This window comes from Homo sapiens, chromosome 4 (assembly GCF_000001405.40).
Source record: "Homo sapiens chromosome 4, GRCh38.p14 Primary Assembly".
Taxonomy (NCBI): Eukaryota; Metazoa; Chordata; class Mammalia; order Primates; family Hominidae; genus Homo; species Homo sapiens.
In genome coordinates, this window is record NC_000004.12 from 63,451,565 (window position 1) to 63,475,942 (window position 24,378).

Below are 24,378 nucleotides of genomic sequence, written 5' to 3' on the forward strand. Positions count from 1 at the left end.
TCTGTGTGCTGCTGGTAGGGTGCCTTTCTTAGAGAAATGAAATTTCCAGTTGATCCATGTGTCCAGTGCATTCTCTAACGGAATCCACATTCTCATTCATATTCGTAAGTACTGCTCGTTCCACTCATTTGCATACAGAAACTCTTCCCTGAGTTCACACAGGTCAGCGTTGTAGATGATATGGTTGTTAGAAATTCTATCGGCTCATGGAAAAGGCAGAACTTTGCAAAAGTCCATGGAAGTTTGTTCCTTAACAGGCCAAATGGCTGCAGGTGTAAATTCTTGACTGACTGACGGCAGGTAGAGAGTTTGCTGTGCTCTCTCTTGGGGAAGGGCTTCTTACAGATCCAAGGGAGAGTCCTAGATGTTTCCAAAGTATGACATATGGATTTCTTTAATTCAACTTAGGCTGAAGTAGGCTGGTGATTTCCATGGCCAATAGCTTTTTGAGTTTATGCCATCGGGGGCCCTCCACGCTCACAGCTCTATCATGGCTCAGTTTGGGGTCATTCTTAAAAACAAATAAAAGGACATAGAAAACATACCCAGAGTGCTGCACTTTCTTGCAATCCATCATAAGGTGTACTGCTCCAAGAAGTCAAATAGAAAACAGGAACAGGACTATTCAAAACAAAAATAGATATTGTTCTTTGTACAAATGCTACTGAATAACTTGTAGCTTTTTTTAAAGTGTCAAAAAACCTCAGAAATGGCATAATTCAGAAAGCTTATCAAAATAGGCCTTCTTTCGTGGTAAAAATGTGCTTTGTTGGTTCAATTGCTAGAGAAGTCAATGGTTTTAACACTAGACATAAAGCAAAAAAATTAAAAAAGCTTTATTTTGAAGGAAAAAAAAAGTTGTATCTGCTCTAGGCTGGGTTTTCAGTAAGAGCAGTGAAGGTAGTATTTTTTGTTTGTTTGTTTGTTTGTTTGTTTGTTTGTTTTGTATTATTCCACCAAGATTCTGAAAGTGTTTTTCCTGGGCTTTGGGTGTGTTTTATTCAGTAGGAAACCCAAGCAGTGAGGGTAATGTTTTGTTTTGTTTCTCTTATACCACCAAGATTCCTGAAAGTGCTTTTCCTGAGCTTTGGGTGTGTTTTATTCAGTAGGAAAATCTTTTTCCAACATCTGCAGTGGAAGGCCAGGGTGGAAACTGCTCAGGGCACCAGACCCCTCTCTCTGGGAGAATCTCATTTCTGTAGTTTGTTACTGGCTGAAATGTCTATAAATTTTATTGGAAATACATAATTTCCAACCCATTTTTTTCACGGTCTCTTTAAAAGCAACTTTATTGTGCATGCTTGTACATTTTAATTAACAGTAATAGTAACCTCTTAGACGGAAATAATATATAGATAAGTATGTCCAACTACTTTGTTTCATCATAAAGTATACACAATATTTTCATTAATTTTCACCTTTTAAAATGTTGGAAGTTATGCAAGTTTGTTTCTTTAAGTGGCTATATATTCAATTGCCACAATCCAATGACAATATGATGATAGATAACATTTATTGAGTACTAACTATGTGTTCAAACTCTTGGTTAAATGAATATTATTTAACTTTGTTTAATCCTCACAATCAATGCAGGAGTGGGTATCAGCATTAGTTTCCTAGATGATGAAACTGAGGATTAAAGTGAAAAAGTTCCTTGATTAGGATTACATAGTTTGTAATTTATGGTGCTGAAGTTCAAATCCAGGCAGATAAAACAAGTATACTTTTAAATGCCACAAAATTTTCTTTCCCAAGTAAGTTTGGATGACAACCAAGGACTAAGAAACGCATGAAAATAGTGTTTCACTGTTCCAGCATTTTGATGGAAAAACACACACACACACACAAACACACACACTATTTAAATGATATATTTATTGTCACAATTTTTGACAGATCTTGCTGGAGTGCAGTGGTGCTCTCTTGGCTCACTGCAACCTCCACCTCCCGAGTTCAGGCAATTCTCCTGCCTCACTCAGCCTCCTGAGTGGCTGGGATTACAGGCACCACTACCATGCCCGGCGAATTTTTATACTTTTAGTAGAGATGGGGTTTTGCCACGTTGGCCAGGCTGGTCTCGAACTCCTAAACTCAGGTGATCCGCCCGCCTTGCCCTCCCAAAGTGCTGGGATTACAGGTGTGAGCTACTGCACCCGGCCAAAAGTTATGTTTCTTATTCCTTAAATTCTTGAGATGAAAATTTATTTCATGGTATAGATTTCAAGAAGGTACATCAGATAATTAACTGAAATATCTTTATGCTATAGAAAATCACCTAATGAGTAAAAAACAAATCTTAATTACTGCTTTTGTTTTTAAGTGTGTGTCCTGTAGAATCAAGTGCACATTTGTAACTTGAATGTACCTAGTTTTGAGAGTACAGTATATTTATGTGTTAATTTACTTTTATTCTCCTCTAGTTAGTAACCCATTGATTGTAGCTAATATTATTTTTATAAATGTTGAATTTTAATACATAACAAGGCACCAGAATATAATGAATGCTTAATAATTGTTTGCAAAATGAATTCACATGCCTACTTTCTTACAGTAATAATGGTCAGGTTTACGTACCTATATATTCTACATTAATAAATATATATTTAGTTGAAAAATCAAAGCTTTTGTGGATTATATTCTTTAAAACTTAAAAGCACTGAAGTATATTTATCTAGCGCCCTCTATGGTAAACTATATTTATATCCTGAATTAGTGCATATTTATCTATGAAAGAATATATAGAGTTGAGATAGCTATTTTTCAAAATCATTTAAGGAAAGCATATAGTACTACTTTAATGTAAATTGCATTGTCTGTGAGACAGTGCCATATTTTAAATTAGGCCACACAAGAGCAAGATTGTACCTTCTTTAATTAAAAAATAACAAAATTAATTAATCTTAATAATGAGTAATTTTAGTGGTATTATATAATATTTTACATAACAGTTAAATAACTCAGTCTGAATAAAATCTATGTGATTAGACAAAAGGATTGAAAATATATAATACATAAAATAATATTCAAGATTTTTAAAATGTAAAAATAGGATATATCATAACTTAATACTTAGGATTTCATAAAGTTTTTTGTTACAGAAATTTCTTCAGAAAGGTTGAAAGTGAATGGGAACTTTCTGAAAGTCATGGTGTATTTATGATGGCAGCAATGGAAATGAATCAATGAAATATCCTTAAAAAAAAGATTTCCAAAGAAATAAGATCAAATGAGCAAATTCTCAGATGTTGAACAGAAATAAATTCTGGTGCATCATCCAAAAAGATCAAAGAAAAAGCTCTCTCTAAAGTAAACAGAGTGATATTTTTGTTTGGGTGCCATAACTTTTCTGGTAACTTGTCAGTCTTAATAAGAAGGTGTAAAAATCTCTCTGCATGACACAGAAACATCATTCCTAAACCTGAAGCAAAGTCACGTTGAGCAGAAAACAGTTTTAAAAGAACTCAAAGAAAGATCAGAAAAAATTGCCTATATCAGTGTTCAAATTCTAAGAAGCAAAAATGTTTTAAGACTCAGGGATATTATAATTTTCAGAACATTTATCATTTTGGTCAACTGAAAATTTTCATAAACTATGAGTACGCAATTGCTCCCAAGCATATCTCAGTGCCAACCAAATTCTACTCCAATAATTCAGAAATGCTACGCATTAGATTAAACTCCAAGAACAAAAAATTATATTTTTATTACAGTAGAAATGAAACTACAGATGAATACAAATTTAGAAAGAAAAGTCCTACTTATTTAGGTTTTACACATATGTTTAAGAAAATTGATGCAGAGGTAAGAAGTATTTTTAAAAGTCATTGTTGACCCAATGTGTTTGAAAATAATATTTGACTCATCAATATTCTGAAGTCAGGTTGGTATTAATTATAATTGTACCTAGTTTCTCAAAACCTCTAAGCAAATGACGTGTCCGAAATAATTATTTTTATCTCTCCTCTGTAAATTTGTAAAATTTACTTAGAGATATCAAAAACATGTTATGGAAACTAAACTTAGGCTTTTATTTTAGACTAATATATGTGTATTTAGAGCTATTTTAGAAAATTCTCATATGAATCTTGGCTAAGAACCAGTCTCAATTATAAAGTTTTGAATTAATTGATTCCAATATTATATAAACAGATTCTGGCTACATGATATTTATTCTCAACCATGTCACTGGCAAAAATTGAAGAAACAAAATAACACCTGTGCTAATGGTGATGCAGTAAAACTGACAATATTAAATCGCGCTAGAGAAAATATAACTTTTATATATATATATAAGTATATATATATATACTTCAAATGCTATCATCAGTGAGTAAATCTGTCAGCAATAAAAAATGTGTTAGGCTATAATAGCTTGTAGTATTCTAATATTACTGCTGAGAACAACAAGAAAGTTGCATAACATGTTTATCTATCCTATTTTCAGAGAAATAAGAGAACTATTGAAGCAGTGAGAAGTAGAAGGGCAAAGAGTTTGCATAGGGGAGAATCAAAAAGAAGTATTCTAAATTTTTTTCAGCCATTTATTTTCATGGGAATTTCTCAAATCTCAGAAAACACATGAGATTAAAAATTGTGTTCTTCACCCTTTGCCACAGGGTCGCTACTGAAGGACAGTCAAACTGACAAAACTTTTGGTTATATTGTAGTGTCACAGTAAAAAAAGAATTATCATTGCATAGGTGCTAAATCCATGATCGCTTTCTCCTGAATAAATCTGCTAAATTGTGAAGACAAGAAGGTTAGAAGCTAAGGCAAAACCAGTGAAACTAGACTGAATGTATTATCAAGCTTGTGGGAATGAGAAGACAATGCAGACAGAAAAATAATTGCTAACGGAGCCCAGAAAAGAGGATATCATTTTAAATATACAATTTTATACATAAGATAACATAAAGATGATGTATGTATGTAAACCTGAATTAAGAGAGTATTTTTCAAACTATAATCCAAATGACGTATTTCTATTTCTGATTTTTATAAAGCAATAAGGGTCTAGCTACTTAACAAACAAAAAGGTTAACACTCTCTAAAAGAAGAAACTACCATTTAGACTCTACAATTATATATATATAATATATAGACAATGAAAAAGTTTATGGTAGCACTACTGTATATCAGAAAAACTGGAAGCACCCAAATCCTTATCTACAGTTTACATATAAATAAACTTAGCCATAATCATATTTTTGAATAATATACATCAATGAAAGTGAATATGATATAACGGTACAATAAGTATGAGTGAGTCTCCTCAGCAGAAATCACACACATCTCATAAACATAACCAAAAGCAGATGTGCATTAACTGTATGAGTCAAATAACAATGTTTATAGATGCAAGAAGAGAGAAAAATAAGTCTGAAAAGTAAGAAAAAAAAACCCTTAAAAAATTCAGTCTAGACAACAGACTAAATTATATATGTTAATTTATATAAGTTTCTGCCATATGACAATACTTAGAAGGATATATGTGTCAAACAAAAAAGCCAACATTCTACTCTCAGGTGTATGTAAAATTTGAGCTACATACATACATTCATATTATAACGTTATAATTACTACAAAGTGCTGTTTGTCAACGGATTGTCCAATGGTAGATATCACATTCCAACAACAGATACATTCATTAATTACTAACTGATTTATCACATGGCAAAACTCATTGCAGTGTGATATTGCTAATTTTTTAATAAATTGTGTGGGATTCTATTTTTAATAAATGGTCATTTGTATATTAATATATAAAATAATAGATATTCTTTCATTTTGCACAAAAGTTCTGATTGATTAAATATTGAAGTATAAATAATAAAAACTTAAGTTTCTAGATGTAAACCTGAAAAACAGCCCTAAAACTTGGCATACATACGTAGTCCTTTGGAAGTATCCAAGATACACTAAATAAAGAGAAAAATTATGACCATTAGTACATACGCATTATGAGTTTCCACTTACCAAACCACACTTGACTAAATGAAAACCAAATAATGAGTTAATCATATTTGTAATAACAATATTTGAAAAAATTTAAATACTAAATAATGTACAAACTAATAATGAAATAAGTAATGAATGAGCAGAATACTTGAACAGACACTTCACAAGGAGAAGATATCCAATTTCTTATTTCATGCAAGCTAAAAAACATTGAGATATTAGCATGCATTTATTAGACTGGCTAACAGAAAAATAAATATACAATGGTAAGTCTTCTTGAAGATTTGCAGAAATTAGAACACTTACTTTTGAAAGAGTAAATTGGATCAACTAGATTGAGGAAGTGCCAATACAGTATCTATAAAAATTAGCCATACAAGCACACACGGCCCCGGAATTTCCCTCCTTGGTACGTGCTAAACTAAAAGCATGTTACTATGTTAATTGAACAACATAAAAACTAAAGTTTATGTTAGCACTATTGTATATCAGAAAAACTGTAAGCATCCAAATGCTTATCTATAGTTTACAGATAAATCAACTTTGCCATAATTATATCCTTGAATAATAGACATTAATGAAAATGAACATGATACAATGGTAAAATAAATATGAGTCAATCTCCTCAGCGGAAATCATACACAAATCTCACAAACATAACCAAACACAGATGTGCATTAACTGTATGAGTCTACATTTATAATGTTTTTAAAATATGCATAACTAAACTATGATGTTAGATGTCTAGATATTGTTACACTTGTGGAATTTGATGATTTAAGACACATGGGGAGCCCTCTGAATTACTTTAAATGTTCTTTTTCTTGATCTGTGTGATAATTACTCAGGAATGTTTACTTTGTGAAAATTTACCAATCTCTGCATCTATGTATTGTTTTCTTTTAATCTATGTATGTTACATAGTTACAATGAAATATTAAAATAATGCATGTGTTTTTAAAATTAACAATACAAGCTCTAGGGATCATTTCCAATTGTTTCCATCAAAACCACCTGTACTTTGATTCCAACAGACCTACTGTACAAGAAATATTTTAAGAAATTTTTTAGAAGAAAAATGATACAAATGGAAATATAAATCTGAACAAAGAAAGAAAGAATATTGGAAACAGTAAGTACATAGAAACCTTTATATGCTTTTTATCAATTATTCAAATCTGTTTAACATATAATTAATCAGTTAAAAAATAGTCACTATATAGCGTGGGATTTATTACACACATGGGAGAGGAAGCATGAAAGCATAGAATTATAAGGTACAGTATCACTTACTTTAGACTGAGAAAAGTTAAAGATGCATATTTTCCAACTGTAAACTAACAATTAATATAACATGGATTATAACAAATAAGACTGTGAAAACGTTTAAAAATACTAACAACATATTCAATTGACTCATAAAAGGAGAGAATAAATTTGTAAAAAGCACATATGAGTAAAATTAAAATTAAATAGATTTAATCATAATAGGAATAATATACAAAGTGTACATAGTCAAAAATCCCAACTGGCAATATCCAAACTATATGTTGCCTATTAAAACACTCTTTAAATATAAAAACACAAATAAATTTGAAGTAAAATCTTGGTTAAAGATTTACAATGATAAAGTTAACTAAAATTGGAAATTGCTAGATTAATATGAGATACAGTAGATTTTAGAGAGAAATATCACTAGGAATACAGAAGTTCATTGCATAATTATAAAAGGGTCAACTCATTAAGAGGATGCAATCATCATAAATGTTTATGCCCATAATAACAAATCTTCAAAATAAATGAAGCAAAACTCTACAAAACTATGAGGAGAAACAGTAAATCTGTAAAAGTTGGAGTTAGAGATTTCAATACCCTTCGTATTAGCATTTTCACACTGCTATAAAGAACTACCTGAGACTGGGTAACTTACAAAGAAAAGACATTTAATTGACTCACAGGTCAACTGGGAGGCCTCAGGAAACATGCAAAACATGCAATAATGGCAGAAGGGGAAGTGGAAGGAAACTGGTCTTACCATGGCAGAGCAGGAGAGAAAGAGTGAAAAGGGAAGTGCTACACACTTTGAAACCATCAGATCTTGTGAGAATTCACTTGCTCTCATAAGGACAGCAAGGAAGAAATCCTCACTTGTGATCTAATCCCCTCCCACCACGCCCCTCCTTCAATTAAACATGAGATTTGGGTGGGGAAACAAATCCAAATCATATCACCAGTCTTCTCTGTATTTCTTGAATTTGTATGTCAACCTCTCTAGTGAGATTAAGGAAATTTTTATGGACTATATTTTCATGGACTATGTTCTCTATATTGGCCCCTCCCAAATCTCATGTCCTTCTCACATTGCAAAACACAATGACCACTTCTCAGCAGTCCCCAAGTCTCAACTCATTTCAGCATTAACCCAAAAGTCTGAGTGCAAAGTCTTATCTGAGACAAGGAAAGTCCTTTCTGCCTATGACACTGAAAAAAAGCAGGGGGAAAAAGGTAATTACTTTCAAGATACAATGGGTGTACAGGCATTGGGTAAATGTTCTCATTCCAGTTAGGAGAAATTGGCCAAACAAAGCCACAGGCCTCATGCCAGGCCACAACACAGCAGGTCAGTCATTAAATCTTAAAGCTCCAAAATAATCTCATTTTACTCCATGTCTCACATCCACGGCAGGCTGATGCAAGGGGTGTGCTACCAAGGCCTTGGGCAGCTCCACCCCTGTGGTTCTGCAGGGTACAGCTCTCCTCCCCCAGCTGTTTTCATAAGCTGGTGTTGAGTGTCTGTGGCTTTTCTAGGTGCCAGTGCAAGCTGTAAGTGAATCTATCATTCTGGTGTCTGAAGAATAATGGCCCTCTTCTCACAGCTCCACTAGGCAGTGCTTCAATGGAGACTTTGTGTGGGTGCTACAACCGCACATTTCCCTTCTGTACTTCCACAGTAGAGGTTCTCCATGAGACTTCTGCCCCTGCAGCACACTTCTGCCTGGACACCCAGGCATTTCCATCCTCTAAAATCCAGGCAGGGGCTCCCAAACCTCAACTCTTGCCTTCTGCACACTTGCAGTTCCAACACCACATGGAAGCTACAAAGGCTTAGGGACTGTACCCTTTGAAGCAATGGCCTGAGCTGTACCGTGAACCCTTTTAGTCCCAGATGGAACTGCAGTGACTGGAATGAAGGACACCATGTCCAAAGGCTGCACAGAGTAGTGGGGGCCCTGAACCTGGCCCACAAAACCATTTTTCTTCCTAGACCTCCTGGCCTGTGATGAGAGGTGCTGCCATGAAGGTCTCTCACATGCCCTGCAGACATTTTCCCCATTGTCTTGTCTATTAACATTTACCTCCTCTTTACTTATGAAAATTTCTGCAGCAGGCTTAAGTTTTTCCTCAGAAAAATGGGTTTTTCTTTTCTACCATATAGCCGGGCTATAAATATTCCAAACTTTTATGCTTTGCTTTCCTTTTAAATATAAGTTCCAGTTTCTGATTATCTCTTTGTTCAAACGTACGAGTATGTGTACATGCTCAGAACAGCCAGTTCACCTCTTGAATGCCTTGCTGCTCAGAAATTTCTTCTGCCAGATGCCTTAAATCATCTTTCTCAAGTTCAAAGTTCCATAGATCTCCAGAGCAGGGCAAACTGCCACCAGTATCTTTGCTAAAGCATAGCAACAGTCACCTTTATTCCAATTTCCTGTAAGTTTCTCATCTCCATCTGAGACCACCTCAGCCAGGACTTCATTGTCCATATCACTATCAACATTTTGGCCAAAGCCATTCAACAAGTCTCTAGGAAGTGACAAACTTTCCTTTATCTTTATGTTTTCTTCTGAGCCCTCCAAACTGTTCCAATCTCTGCCCATTAGCCAGTTCCAAAGTCACTTCCACATTTCAGATATCTTGATAGCAATTCCCCACTTTCCTGGTAATTTTCTGTATTAGTCCATTCTCACACTGCTATAATGAGCTACATGAGACTGGGTAATTTATAAAGAAAAGAGGCTTAATTGATTCAGTTCCACAGGCTTAACAGGAAGCATGACTGAGAGGCATCAGGAAACTTATAATAATGGCAGAAGGGGAAGAAAGCACATCTTATCATGGCAAAGCAGGAGAGAGAAGGAGAAGGGGGAAGGCCACACACTTTTAAACCATCAGATCTCATTGAGAACTCACTCACTGTCATGAGAACAACAAGGAGGAAATTCACACACATGATCTAATCACCTCCCACCAGGCCCCTCCTCCAATTTGACATGAGATTTGGTCAGGAACACAAATCCAAAGCATATCACCTTCTCTCAATTATACATAGAACAAGTAAACAGGAATCAAGAAGACTTGAAAAACACTATCAAGCAACTTGTCCTAATTGACTTTATAGAAGATACCATACAACAACAACAGACTATAAATTATTTCCATGCGTGCACAGAATATTTACCATAATACAAACCATAAAATAAATATCAATACACATAAAAGGATTCAAATCATAAAACGTGTTTTCTGATCACAGTGTGATGAAATTAGAAACGATATTAGAAACTAGAAAAAAGTAACAGAAATATCTCTGGAAAATTCCCAAGTATATGGAAAATAAATAGAAGTATATAAAGGAACTGAATAAAACTCTTCTAAATGACATAAAAAACACACTTTCATTCATGAGTAAAAAAGAAAATTACATAGAAATTAGAATCTAGGATTGAAGCAAAATGAAAGCAAAACATTGAAATTCTCAGAGTGTACAAAATTGGTAAACTAGACTTCATCAAAAGTGACTTCTGATATTCACAAGGCACTATTACGTAAATAAAAGGCAAATCATAGCCTTGGAGAACATATTTGTATATCATATATCTCATAAAGATCTTGGATCCAGAATATATAAATAACTGCCAAATCTTAGTAATAAGAAAGCAACATAGTTTTTATTAAATGGTAAAATAGTTAACAGACACTTCTCCAAAGACATACAGATGGCAAATCGGCACACAGAAATCTGCTTGACATCAATAGTTAAGAGTGAAATGCAAATTAAAGCCACTCTCCTATCAGAGAGGCTAAACTTAAAAACACTGACCACATCGAGTGTTTGTAAGCACGTAGAAAAACTGGAATCCTCAGGCACTGTTAGTGGGAATGAAAAATAACGCAAATACTTTGGAAAACAGTTTAACAGAACCTTAAAATATTAAATATATACTTACCATCAATCGAGCTATTTCATTTCTAGATATCTGCACCCCTCAACCACAACAATATATGTTATACAAAGAATAGAAAACCAATGATTATAGCAGCTTTATTTATAATAGTTTCAAACTCAAAACAACCAAATGTCCATCAACATTTGGATAAATAAATAAATTGTGGGATATTCATAAATAAAATAATACCTTAGCAATAAAAACAAACTATTGATATCCTAAAAAATATGTATGCACCCAAAATAACTATTGAGTGAAAAAAATAAGATCTTTAAAAAATTTATCCTGGTTATAGAAAATTCTAGAAATAGCAAACTGAGTTTTAGGGACAGAAAGCAGGTTATTGATTACCTTTGGACAGTGGGAGGGTCAGACAGGAATAATTACAGAGTAACATGTGAAAACTTTTAGAGATAATGGATGTTTGACTATCTTAATAGTGGTAATGTTTTGATGTGTAAATACATATGTCAATACTTAGCAAGCTGCCTACTATATAATTACAGTTTATTGTATGTCAATTACAACTCTTTAATGTTGTAAAAAGAAGCCAATCACCTGTACTTAAAATTTAAATGCAAGATCATTAATTTCTTCACTGTTACTAATGGCAAAAATAAAAAAAATAAAACTGAGTAACCATCAATAGGGAAATATTTAAGAAAATTGTGATTTATGTAACTTGTCATATAGTATGTAGCCCCTAAGTCAATGAGCTCTTCTTAAATGAGAAAAATCAAGACACAGAGATTAAAGTGTGATTTATTTTTTAATTGGAAAATTAAAAAGTAGTCAAGATATATTAACACATACATACTTTTAAAAATATTTTTTAGCTAGTGGGGAAGTCACTGGCTAACCAAACATAAAAATAAATCAGAAGAATTAGCTGGAGAAATATTAAAGTGATTGTTGGCTATGACTCCTGGTGCTTTCAACACAAATAGGTGTACGAAAGTTAATCTATTCATATTTTATTTATTGCTACAACTGTACTTCTGATGTTTCCAAAACAGCTATATCTTTCTGTGTTAGTCTGTCTTCATACTGCCATAAAGAACTGTTTGAGAGTGGTAATTTATTAAAAAAGAGGTTTAATTGACTCACACTTCTGTGTGGCTGGGTTTGCCTCTGGAAACTTATAATAATGGTTGAACGCAAATGGGAAGAAAAGCACCTTCTTCACAAGGTGGCAGGAATGAGAAGTGCAAGCAGAAGAAATGCCAGATGCTTATAAAACCATCAGATCTCATGAAAACTCATTCGCTATCATGAATAACAGCATAGAAGAAACTGCCTCCACGATCCAATTACCTCTACCTGTTTCCACCATTGACATGTGGGGGTTATGGCGATTACAATTAAAGGTGAAATTTGGAAGGGGACACAGAGCCAAACCGTATTATTCTGTCCTTGGCCCCTCCCAAATCTCATGTCTTTTTACATTTCAAAACTAATCATGCCTCCCCAACAGTTCCTCAAAGTCTTAACTCATTTTAACATTAACTCAAAAGGCCACAGTCCAAAGTCTCATCTGAGACAAGGGAAGTCCCTTCTGCCTATGAGCTTGTAAAATCCAAAGCAAGTCAGTTACTTCCTAGATACAATGGGGTACAGGCTTTGGATAAATAGTCCCATTCCAAATGAGATAAACTGGCTAAAACAAAGGGGCTACAAGCCTCATGCAAGTCCAAAATACAATAAAGCAGTCATTAAGTCTTAAAAGTTCCAAAATGACCTCATTTGACTACATGTCTCACATCCAATCACACTGATGTAGGAGGTGGGATACCACAGCCTTGGGCAGCTCTGCCTCTGTGGCTTTGCAGGATACAGCGCCTCTCCTGGCTACTTTCATGAGGTGTTGTTGAGCGTCTGTGACTTTTCTAGGTGTACGATGCAAGATGTTGGTGGATCTACCATTCTGGGGTCTGGAGGTTGGTGGCCTTCTTCTCACAGCTCCACTAGTCAGCGCCCCAGTGGGGACTCTGCACTGCCCTAGCAGATGTTCTCCATGGAGAGCTCTGCCCCTGTAGTACTCTTCTGCCTGGACATCCAAGAGTTTCCATACATCCTCTGAAATCTAGGTGGAGGTTCTCAAACCTCAATTCTTGACATCTGTGCATCTGCAGGCCCAAAACCACATGTAAGACACCATGGCTTGGGGCTTTCACCCTCTAAAGCAATGGCCTGAGCTGTATGTTGGCCACTATTAGACACAGCTGGGATGCAGGGCACCAAGTTCAGAGACTGCACAAAGCAGCAAGTCCCTGGGCCTTGCCCACAAAATTATTTTTTCTCTCCAATCCTTCAGGCCTGTGATTGGAGGGCTTGCAGTGAAGACATCCGACATTGACTGAGGCCATATTCTCCATTGTCTTGGTGACTAACATTTGTCTCCTTGTTACTTACGCAAATTTCTGCAGCAGGCTTGAATTTCTCCCCAGAAAATGAGATTTTTCTTTTCTATTGCATCATCAGGCTGCAAATTTTCTGAACTCTTATTCTCTGCTTCCCTTTTAAACATAAGTTCCAATTCCAAACCATATCTTTGTGAATGCATACAACTGAATGGTTTTAAGAGCACCCGAGTCACTTCTTGAACACTTTGCTGCATATAAATTTCTTCCACCAGATATTCTAAATCATCTTTCTCATGTTCAAAGCTCCACAGATCTCTAGGACAGAGGCAAAATGCCACCAGTCTCTTTGCTAAAGCATATATAGCAAATAGTCACCTTTATTCCAGTTCCCAACAAGTTCTTTATTTGTATCTGAGAGCATCTCAGCCTGAAATTTATTGTCCATATCAGTATCAGCATTTTCGTCAAAGCATTCAACAAGTCTCCAGGAATTTCCAAACTTTCCCACATCTTCATGTCTTCTTCTGAACCCTGCAAATGGTTCCAACCTCTGCCCATTAGCTAGTTCCAAAGTTGCTTCCATTTTCAGGTGCCTTTATAGTGATGTCTTTACAGCAGTGCCTCACTCTCCTGGTACCAATTTTCTATTTTAGTCCAGTTTCACACTGCTATAAAGAACTGCCCAAGACTGGGTAATTTATAAGGAAAGAGATTTAATTAACCCACAGTTCCACATGGCTGGAGAGGACTCAGGGAACTTACAGTCATGGCGGAAGGCAAAGGGGAAGCAACTGCCGTCTTTGCAAGGCAGCAGGAGGCAAAATGCTAGGAGGGGAAATGCCATATGCTTATAAAAAAATCAGATCTTATGAGAACTCACTTACTATGAGAAAAGCATGAGGAAAACTTCCCCCATGATCCAGTTACTTCCACCTGGTCCTGCCCTTGACACATGGGGATTATAATTTGAGGTGAGATTTGAGTGAGGAACACAGAACCAAACAATAACATTGTCCTATATATAGAGTTTACTCAAAGTATATAACCACGTCTTTTAAATTTTTGGTCTTCACACTCCTATTAGGTCTCTTCTTGATAGTCTCATCTCATTTATAATCTGTAGCATTTCTTGATTTATGGGAAAAGCTGCTGCCATGAGTAGCTTCTTGTCTTCGCTTCTTTTGAACTTCAGTGTTTTCCCCATCACCACATTCAACTTTTTTTCTCACACTCCTAAAACATGTCACATACACAGACTTTAGAACACATTCCATCCCTTCTGCCTAGTGATTTCATTATTCTATAAATGGACACTTCTATGTTCTGAGTATTTGTTTTTAAGCAAGTAATTGTTCTATTCAAAATCAAATTATTGAGGACCCATGAAAGACAGAAAATGAAAACATTGCAATGTGATATTTAAACACAAACTTACCTGATGTTCATATTTCAAATAACACCTGTAAATTCACCAACAGAAAAAGTGTCTGATATTGTCCTTCACTGTTTTTTCACGTGTCATTTTATTTATTTATTTTTGTTATTATATATATATTTTTTATTATACTTTAAGTTCTAGGGTACATGTGCACAACGTGCAGGTTTGTTACATATGCATACATGTGCCATGTTGGTGTGCTGCACCCATTAACTTGTCATTTACATTAGGTATATCTCCTAATGCTATCCCTCCTCACTCCCCCCACCCCACAACAGGCCCCGGTGTGTGATGTTCCCCTTCCTGTGTCCAAGTGTTCTCATTGTTCAATTCCCACCTATGAGTGAGAACATGGGGTGTTTGGTTTTTTGTCCTTGTGATAGTTTGTTAAGAGTGATGGTTTCCAGCTTCACTCATGTCCCTACAAAGGACATGAACTCATCCTTTTTAATGGCTGCATAGTATTCCATGGTGTATATGTGCCACATTTTCTTAATCCAGTCTATCATTGTTGGACATTTGGTTTGGTTCCAAGTCTTTACTATTTATTGTGGCACGTGTCATTTTAAGTAAAGAAAGATGATGTTCACAATAAAACAATGAGAACTATTTTAGCTTTGGCGACAAAATGTATACTTCAAATTATATTTTGTTAATTTTAAACTTCTGGCACAATTTACCTTTTTTCCAATGATAGATTTGACTAGTTAATATCAATAATAAAATGCAAATTTAGAACCTTCCTGAGTCATTGAATCAAAGGGATTAATTACCATACTCCAAAATATACTAGGTTATCCAAGGAATTAAAACACCTCTAGGGGAAAAAAAAACCCAAAAATAAATGGAAGCTCAGAGGAAGATATATAGACTCTTAAGTCTTTCAATTAGTAATCTTTCTATGAAAATTTTAATTATATGTTATTAGGGAGTCAAAAGTTACACACAAAGTTTTGAGTGTATAGGGAAGTCAGTGCCCTGAAACCCCAAGTTATTCAAGGGTCAACTGATATATACTGTACATTCAACTGTATATATCTACACACACACACACACACACACACACACACACACACACACACACAGTTGAATATACTCTACATATTTTTTCTCTTTCTTGTACTTCCCCACCATTTAACTCTCCCATCAAACCCTTCTTCCCCTTTTCCTTACCTGATATCCATTCTATAACTTCTCAACTACCATGGAACTTTCAGTATACTTCGAAACATCTCCAGACATTGAGAAAAGTTATTTTAAAGCATTATCCAAACAAGATTGTTATAAATTTGCTTTGTCCTCTGTTTCTAGAAATATCACATTAATATTGATTGACAGAAATTTAGGGGCCAGTGAAGAGCCCTGTGGAGTCCTCTTAAATTCCTCACTGTATGTCACTAACAAATCAGCTTATATAAGATCAGACATGAACCAGGCAAACGTGTCAAAAATATTGACAAATTTTTTTTTAAATGTAATCATGTCACAAAATTGTGCTTATACCACATCACTTTTTTTAAAAGAAACAATAAAGGATTATATGGTCGCACAAAATAATTGATATGCAACTTATCCTTATCCAAATTAATTCCAAATATAAAAGTTTAAGCAACTTATACTCAATTATTTTTTGAGATGGAGTTTTCCTCTTGTTGTTGCCCAGGCTGGAGTGCAATGGCACAATCTCAGCTCACTGCAGCCTCCGCCTCCTAGGTTCAAGCAATGCTCCTGCCTCAGCCTCCTGAGTAGCTGGGATTACAGGCACCTGCCACCATGTCCGGCTAATTTTGTTTTTTTTCTTTGGTATTTTCGGTAGAGACAGGATTTCGCCATGTAGGCCAGACTGGTCTTGAACTCCTGGCCTCAGGTGATCCACTGGTATCAGCCTCCCAAAGTGCTTGGATTATAGGCATGAACCACTGCGTCCAGCCTCAAATTTTTTTATGTTGAAAAAAATAATGAGACAGAATTTTAAAATCTCACTTATATTTGTACTTCTGAAAACAAAGGGTCTGAAGTGTTACTGTGTAATTTTCTAATTACATTTTGTTTTCCCTAATTGATACAATTCATTGCTCACATTAGTTTTTAAGAGATTGCAAACAAAAGCCATTATTATTCACCAATAATCAATTATAACTGTTCTAATCACATTCAGTTTTCCTTTATTTTAAAGAAAGTTATAGAAGTTAAATTTTACATGCTGTTTTAATTCTGGAAAATTTCACACAATTTTGTCAGACAAACAATTTCACAAAATGTTGCTTGTATACCTGCCTCATGGAGAAATGCCAGCATCCTTTGCAAATCTGAGAGGAGATTTGCAAATAATTCTGATAACTTTCTCAATATCAAGAGTTGTTAGTCAGCTGCAAAAGTGTTCTTCAGTGTACCCTACAATGATAAATGGCAAAGTGATGGTGCATACAATGGCAGGATGATCAGTAGCCTGAAGAAGCGTAGGAATGCAGTAGGTCATCATTTCCATTTTTATTAGAATTCTTTTTTTCCCCAGAGCATCATTCCTTTCAGCATTAGCCAAGTTGCTTTTGCACTCTAAGTCCTTGAGCAGATATAATTTCCATGTCACACAGTGCTCCTTTTGTGAACTTTTACAAAATTTAATCCAGTAGTATTTTTAAAGTGCTTTCACACTTATTTTTCCCAAAATGATCATATACTGTGACCAGAATATAAAAATATTTTTTCTTTAAAATGTATAAAGTATTATAAGTCACACTCAAATTGGTTGAAACAATTATGTACCTTGTACAATACATTGAATGTCAGCTCATGATTCCTCTTCTACCCTATTTGGTTTTTAAAAATTATTTACTTATGTATGGTTTGTTCATTCATTTGTTTGTTCATTCATTCATTGGATGTAAAGCATCTAAAATGAAGTAATTATTTTGAAAATGAGAAATTAATACCTGATATGTAATGAATAGAAATTAAGCAAATGACCATTTTTTCCCATTTATTACATTCTTTTCTCCTAAAAGCAGTCTCACGTTAGCTCTGATCTTGCCATGAACAACTGAACTCAAATGAAAAGATCTGTTTTGTAAGTTATAGTTTTCACCTCTTCCGTGTTAAATTAAGATGTCATTTCACTGGAGTGCTTCTATAATTCCCCCACTGGTCCTAAAATGTATAAGTTATGAACATTTTTTTAGACTAGGGACCATTTTTCTAGCATTGACCTACTGCACGTAATCTTGGGGTGAATGCAGTTTTGTTTTGCTTAATTATCTTAGCATGACTGAAAATAAGCAGAGTCATTGGAACTGGATTTAATATTAACTCCATGATTTGTAGATAAATGTAATTTTGTAATTTTTTTACTTTGTATTTTTTCTTCTACAAAATGTGCATTTATAATATCTAAATGTTGAAAGAATTACATATAATATCTGAATGTTGAAAGAATTAAATAAGTTTATGTATGTAAAGTGCCAACATATTTTGAATTCCAAGGGAATCCATTGAATAGTTATTTGCACAGCCACTCAAAGTGCCTCATCTATAAAACTAACTAAAATTGCCTCTCAGGAGTGAGAACTGAATATGATTGTGTATGTATAGATGACACATAGACTAAAAATTGCTAGGTGGGTATTGATAATTGTTATTCTAAGAAATATCAGCATGGTCTGAATAATAAAATTGTCAACTTCATTTTAACTTTTATGTATAGAAATTTTATGCATAACCAAATGGGAAAATTGCCTATATTTGATAGCTTTTTATGTGAATTAGAAAACTAACGTCAATAATACTATAACTATACCATTTGTTGGGTATTGTCAGTTAATCTAATTTCTAGGCTTATAAATATTAGACACTAATACCATTAGATTAAAATTATTTTTAAATAACATTCGACTGTTTGGGGGTTACTGCTTTCAGTATATAAATGAATTGTTCTCTTGATGCTTAAAATTCAAATTTTCATATCCTTTTCCATATTAAATTAGTTTATAATAATATATTTAGCAGAAACCTTTTGACAGTTGTTTCTTTATTAACATACACTCTCTTAATACCTTCATCAATCCAAGGAATTATATTACCCTCCAAGTTGATAACACAGGATAGGCAACACCATTCCTTGCTAAAATAATGTTCTTAGAGTGCCTAGTAAGGCACATTCTTATGAGTAAGCTCAATAAATAGCAAAATATTTTTGGCAATTATGTGCTTAAATTGTCTCAGCAGCATTTGTGTTGTACTTGCCTTGGATTGCTTTCTACTTTATATTGACTAGTATCATAGTCTATTCATAAAGACTAAATGGAAATAATTAGAAGTGCCTCTACTCAGGAATATAGTAAATAAAAAAAATACAGCATTCCTTGAAGGATTGCAGAGATTAGTGTCACCATTAAAAACTTCCAAGATGTAAACGGGGTGATTCTCGCTACATCCCCAATCTACTCTCCTATTTGGCCTGTAGAGAGAAAGACAGTAAATTACCATAAGTTTAACTAAGTGGTGACTCCACTTGTAGCTGCTCTACCAGATCTGTTTTCATTGCTTGAGCAAATTAGCGCATCCTCTGATAGCTGGTATGCAGCTATTGATCTGGCAAATGCCTTTTTCTTCATACTTGTTTATAAGGCTTCATACTTGTTTACAAGCAATTTGCTTTTAGCCATTAAGGTCAGAAATAGACCTTCACTGTCCTACTTCAGTGGTTATATCAACTCTTCAACTCTGTCATAATTTGGTTTGCAGAGATTACCTTTCTCTTCCACAAGACAGTACAATGGTCCATTACACTGATAACATTATACTGCTAGAGTCTACTGAGCAAGAAGTGGCAAACACTCTAGACTTATTTGTAAGACATTTGCATGTCAGAGGGTGGGAAATAAAGCCAATTAAAATTCAGAGACTTTCAACCTCAGTGACATTTCTAGGGCTCCAGAGACGTGGGGCATGACAAGATATGCCTTTTTGGGTGAAGGATAAGTTGTTGCATCCCACTCCTCCTACAACCAACAAAGAAGCACAGTGCCTGGTAAGCTTATATGGCTTGTGGAGGCAACATATTTTTCATTTGGGTGTGTTACTCTAGCCTATTTTTCACATGACCCCAAAAGTTGCCAGTTTTGAGTGGGGCCCAGAGTAAGAGAAGGCTCTGTAACATGTCAAGGCTTCTGTGCAAACTGCTCTGCCACCTAGGGCATATGATTCAAAAGATCCAATGTTTCTTAAAGTTCAGTGGCAGATAAGCATGCTGTAAGAAGCCTTCGGCAGGCCCCTGTAAGTAAATCACTGCTGAGGACTTTAGAATTTTGGAGCAAGTTTCTCATGCCGTCATCCGTAAATAAGACTCTCCTTTTGAGAGTTAGCTCTTGGTCTGCTACTGGACCTTAGTAGAAATTGAATACATAGACACCAAGTCAATGTGTGATCTGAGCTGCCTATCAAAATTTAGTGTTATCTGACCCACAAAACCATACATGTTGGGGACATATGCATAAATACGCCATTATCAAGTAGAAGTGATATATATATATGATCAGGCTAGAGCAAGCCCTGAAGGCACAAGTTAGTTACATGAACAAAGGGCCCAAATATTCATGGTTTCCACTCTTGCTGCATTGCCTTCTCTCCCAGTCTGAACCTATGGCCTTAACAAGGATTATCCTACAATCAGTTGACAGATGAAGAGAATAATGGGGCTTGGTTTACAAATGGTTCTGTAGGATATGCAGACACCACCTGAAAGTGAACAGCTGCAGCACTACATCAATTTTGTGGGACAGGCCCTAAAGGATCATGGTGAAGAGAAATCCTCCTGGTGGGCATAAGTTCAACAGGTGTACCTGTTGTGCACTTTGCTTGGAAGGAGAAATGGCCAGATGTGTGATTATATATTATTCATAGGCTGTAACCCATGGTTTGGCTGGATAACTAGAGTTTAGGAAGGAATACAATCAGAAAATTCATGCCAAAGTAATATGGGAACAAATAAGCAAATTAGAACTCTCTGAATGGGCAAAAATGGGAAGACAATTTTGTCCTATGTGAATGCCCACCAAAAGGTGACCTCAACAGAGGAATATTTTAATAATCAAGTGGATAGAATTACCCATTTAGTCAATACCGGTCATCCTCTTTCCCCAGCCACTTCTTTTATTGCCCAATGAGATCATGAACACAGTGGTTATAGTGGCAGAAATGGAGGTTTTTATGGACTAAGCGACATGGACTTTCAGTCACAAAGGCTGATCTAGCTATGGACAAAACTGGAGATTTGGAAAAAAATTATTAAGACATGAAGTTTGTGTTTTTACATTATACTATATTTATCAAATATATGTGTAAATACATCATGGTATATGGTATATTATAAATATATCTTATATTACTTATAATATTACTTATAATAAGATATATTTGAAATAATTGACTATTGTGGGGGTTGGCAAGTGTTAAATCAGTGGGACAAGCTGGCAGGTGGTAAACTCTCTAATAGAGGCTGCTGCAGTCTTAGGGTAGAATTTCTTCTTCCTTAGGGAAGCCTCAGTTTTGCTCTTGAGGCCTTTCCACTGATTGAATAAGGCTTGCTTACATTATCTATATAATCTTTAATTGGAGTCAATTGATCGTAGATATAACCACATCTATGAAGTACCCCCACAACAATACCTAGATTAGTATTTAAGATGCTATATCTAAATTGACACATAAAACTAGTCATCACAAATACTGAATAAATGAGTTACTAAATATAATTTTTGTGCATTTTATATTTAAATATATGCATTAGAATTTTAACAAAATATTTTAAACCATCCTAAAATTATATGATAATTTAATGAGTTATATGCAGCTTACCAAGAAAAGACTATCAAAATATATAATTCTTAAACTTTTTGAAAAAAATTAATTTTTCTGATCTTAAATTCAGCAATATTGCGATGCCTTCTGTTTGTGTATTGTAAAGCTTACAACAGTATATTTCCTTTTTATTTACCTGGCCTGTCTTTATTGTTGTCATACAAGTTAAGTCTTATATTTTATTTTATAAGCCACCAAATAGTTTACTGTTATTTTTGCTTTTTTTTTTTTTTTTTTGAGACGGAGTTTCGCTCTTGTTGCCCAGGCTGGAGTGCAATGGCGCGATCTCGGCTCACCGCAACCTCCACCTCCCAGGTTCAAGCAATTCTCCTGCCTCAGTCTCCGGAGTAGCTGGGATTACAGGCATGCACCACCATGCCCAGCTAATTTTGTATTTTTAATAGAGACAGGGTTTCTCCATGTTGGTCAGGCCAGTCTCGAACTCCTGGCCTCAGCTGATCCGCCTGCCTCAGCCTCCCAAAGTGCTGGGATTACAGGCATGAGCCACTGTGCCTGGCCTTATTTTTGCTTTTAATAGGAAACTTTCAAAATAATTGAAATAATTTTTAAATGTTATATTTACTCACGTAGTTAGGATTCCCATTGCTCTTCTTTCCATTTGGTAGACACAAGTTTCCATTAAGTTGCCTTTTTTCTTTCTTGGAAGGACTTTCTTTAACATTTGTAGTAGTGCAGGTCTTCCAGTGGTTAATCCATTCATCTTGTGTATAACTGAAAAAATATGTTTATTTCAATTGTATTTTTAAAAGATGCTTGTGATGGGTATAAAACTCTAATTTGATCATCTCCACCCACTAACCCACCCTTTCATTATTCTAAATATACTGCTGTACTGTTTCCTGTCTCACGATTTTTTTAGGCAAGAAATTTTCCAGTTTAACTTTATTTTTCTGTGGGTAATGTGTCTCTTTTTTTTTTTTTTGTCCCATCTCTGCTTTTAGGATTTTTTTTTCTTTATCACTGATGTATGTAATTTGTTTATAATGTGCCTGGCATAGTTTTTTTTTTCAGGTTTTATGTGTTTGGGATGGCTGACCTTTACTATCTGAAGGCACATATTTTCACCAAATTATTTTCTTTCTTCAAATATTTCTTATGTTCCCCCTATTTTGTGTGACTACAAATAACATATATGCAAGCCCTCTTGATGTTGTTCTATAGCTGTCACTTTAAAATGCTTTTAGATCTCTTCTTTCCTTTCATTTGAGATAATTTCTATTCTGTGACTTCAAGATCACATATCTGTTCTTTGACAATGTTTAATAAGCTGTTGATGATATGAGCACATTTTTCATCGTGAACACTGTAAATTTTATATACAGAAATTCATTTTGGGTCTCTATATATTTGAAGTTTTTATTTAACATGTATAATCCTCCTCTAACTTATAAAACATATTGTCATTTTATATATATAATATATATACACATATATATATGCTGATAATTAGTGTTGTCTACTATCATTTCTTGTTTTCACCTCAGTATATGCCATATTTATGCGCTTTGTTGCTTGACAGGTAATTTTTCATTTGATGCCAGATATTGAAAATTTTACTTTGTTGTGTGCTGGATATTTTTGCATTCTACAAACATTTTGAACTTTGATCTATGCCACAGTGAAATTACTTGCAAGCAAGTTTCCTTGTGTTGAAGTCTTTTTCATGAGTTTTATTATGTAGGGCCAGAGCAACATTTATTTTAGGGCTAAATTTTCAGCTCCTATTCTAAACACTTTGTGCAATACCCCTAAGAATTATAAGGGCTTTCATGCTTACTTGTGGGAAAAACAATTATTTATTTTCTTTTGTGCATTGTTCCCCACAGATCTTTTGGATGGCTCATTGTCTCTTTTCCTATTTTCTCCTCCTCTTTTTTATTCTCTCTTTATTTTTCTCCCTCCCATCTCTCTCCTGTTTTCTGTTTTATATTTTCCCCCTGTGAAATGCAGCTTCCTCTTAGACTTCAGACTGTCAATTTTATTTGCTCATTTCAGGAAAAAATCTGGGCTCCCCTTTCTCCCTCCTGCATCACTGCTTGGAAATTTTCTCTAGCAGATAAAATGAGTTAATTGTAGGATTTGGTTGTTTTGTTTTCCATATCTCAGGGATCATTGCCTTATTGCCTACATCTTGAAAATGGCTGACATACTTTGTCTGTGATTTTGTTTACTGCTTTTAGAGCGGAAGAGAGATGCGTTTCCCATTACTCCATTTTAGTCACATGAGTTTAGCATGGTTTGTAAAGTTTATGATAAAAATTGTCTGTGTGGTGAATTCAAAAATTTCAGTATTACATTTCATTATGCAGTCTGAAATCATTCGTCTGGTATTCAGAGATAAATAGATTTAAAGAATCCATGAGTTATCTTTATTGGGATCAGTGCTTTTTAAATCTTGGCTAAACAATTTTTTTCCTACAGAAAATGGAAATTTCTACTTAGATGTTCTCCTTTTAGAAAAAAATATTTTAAATGGTTCAGTTAAGCTTTTAAGTTTCATACTGTGACCATAAAC

At 34.6% G+C, this 24,378-nt stretch overlaps 1 long non-coding RNA gene across 7 annotated transcripts in view; it reads right to left on the reverse strand.

Annotated features, from left to right (window-relative positions):
- Positions 1-11,674: 11,674 nt before the first annotated feature.
- Positions 11,675-24,378, reverse strand: part of LOC105377253 (uncharacterized) — a 66,503-nt gene continuing 53,799 nt past the window's right edge. For 2 of the 7 annotated variants that reach the window (NR_188407.1, NR_188410.1), the window contains exons 2-4: positions 22,430-22,574; positions 17,261-17,381; positions 11,675-14,782 (exon numbers count right to left, since the gene is read on the reverse strand). This is a non-coding gene — a long non-coding RNA (uncharacterized LOC105377253). Of the gene's footprint in view, positions 14,783-17,132; positions 17,382-22,429; positions 22,575-24,378 lie in introns of those variants that run through there. The other 5 variants (NR_188408.1, NR_188412.1, NR_188409.1 and 2 more) reach the window with 3 other exon arrangements.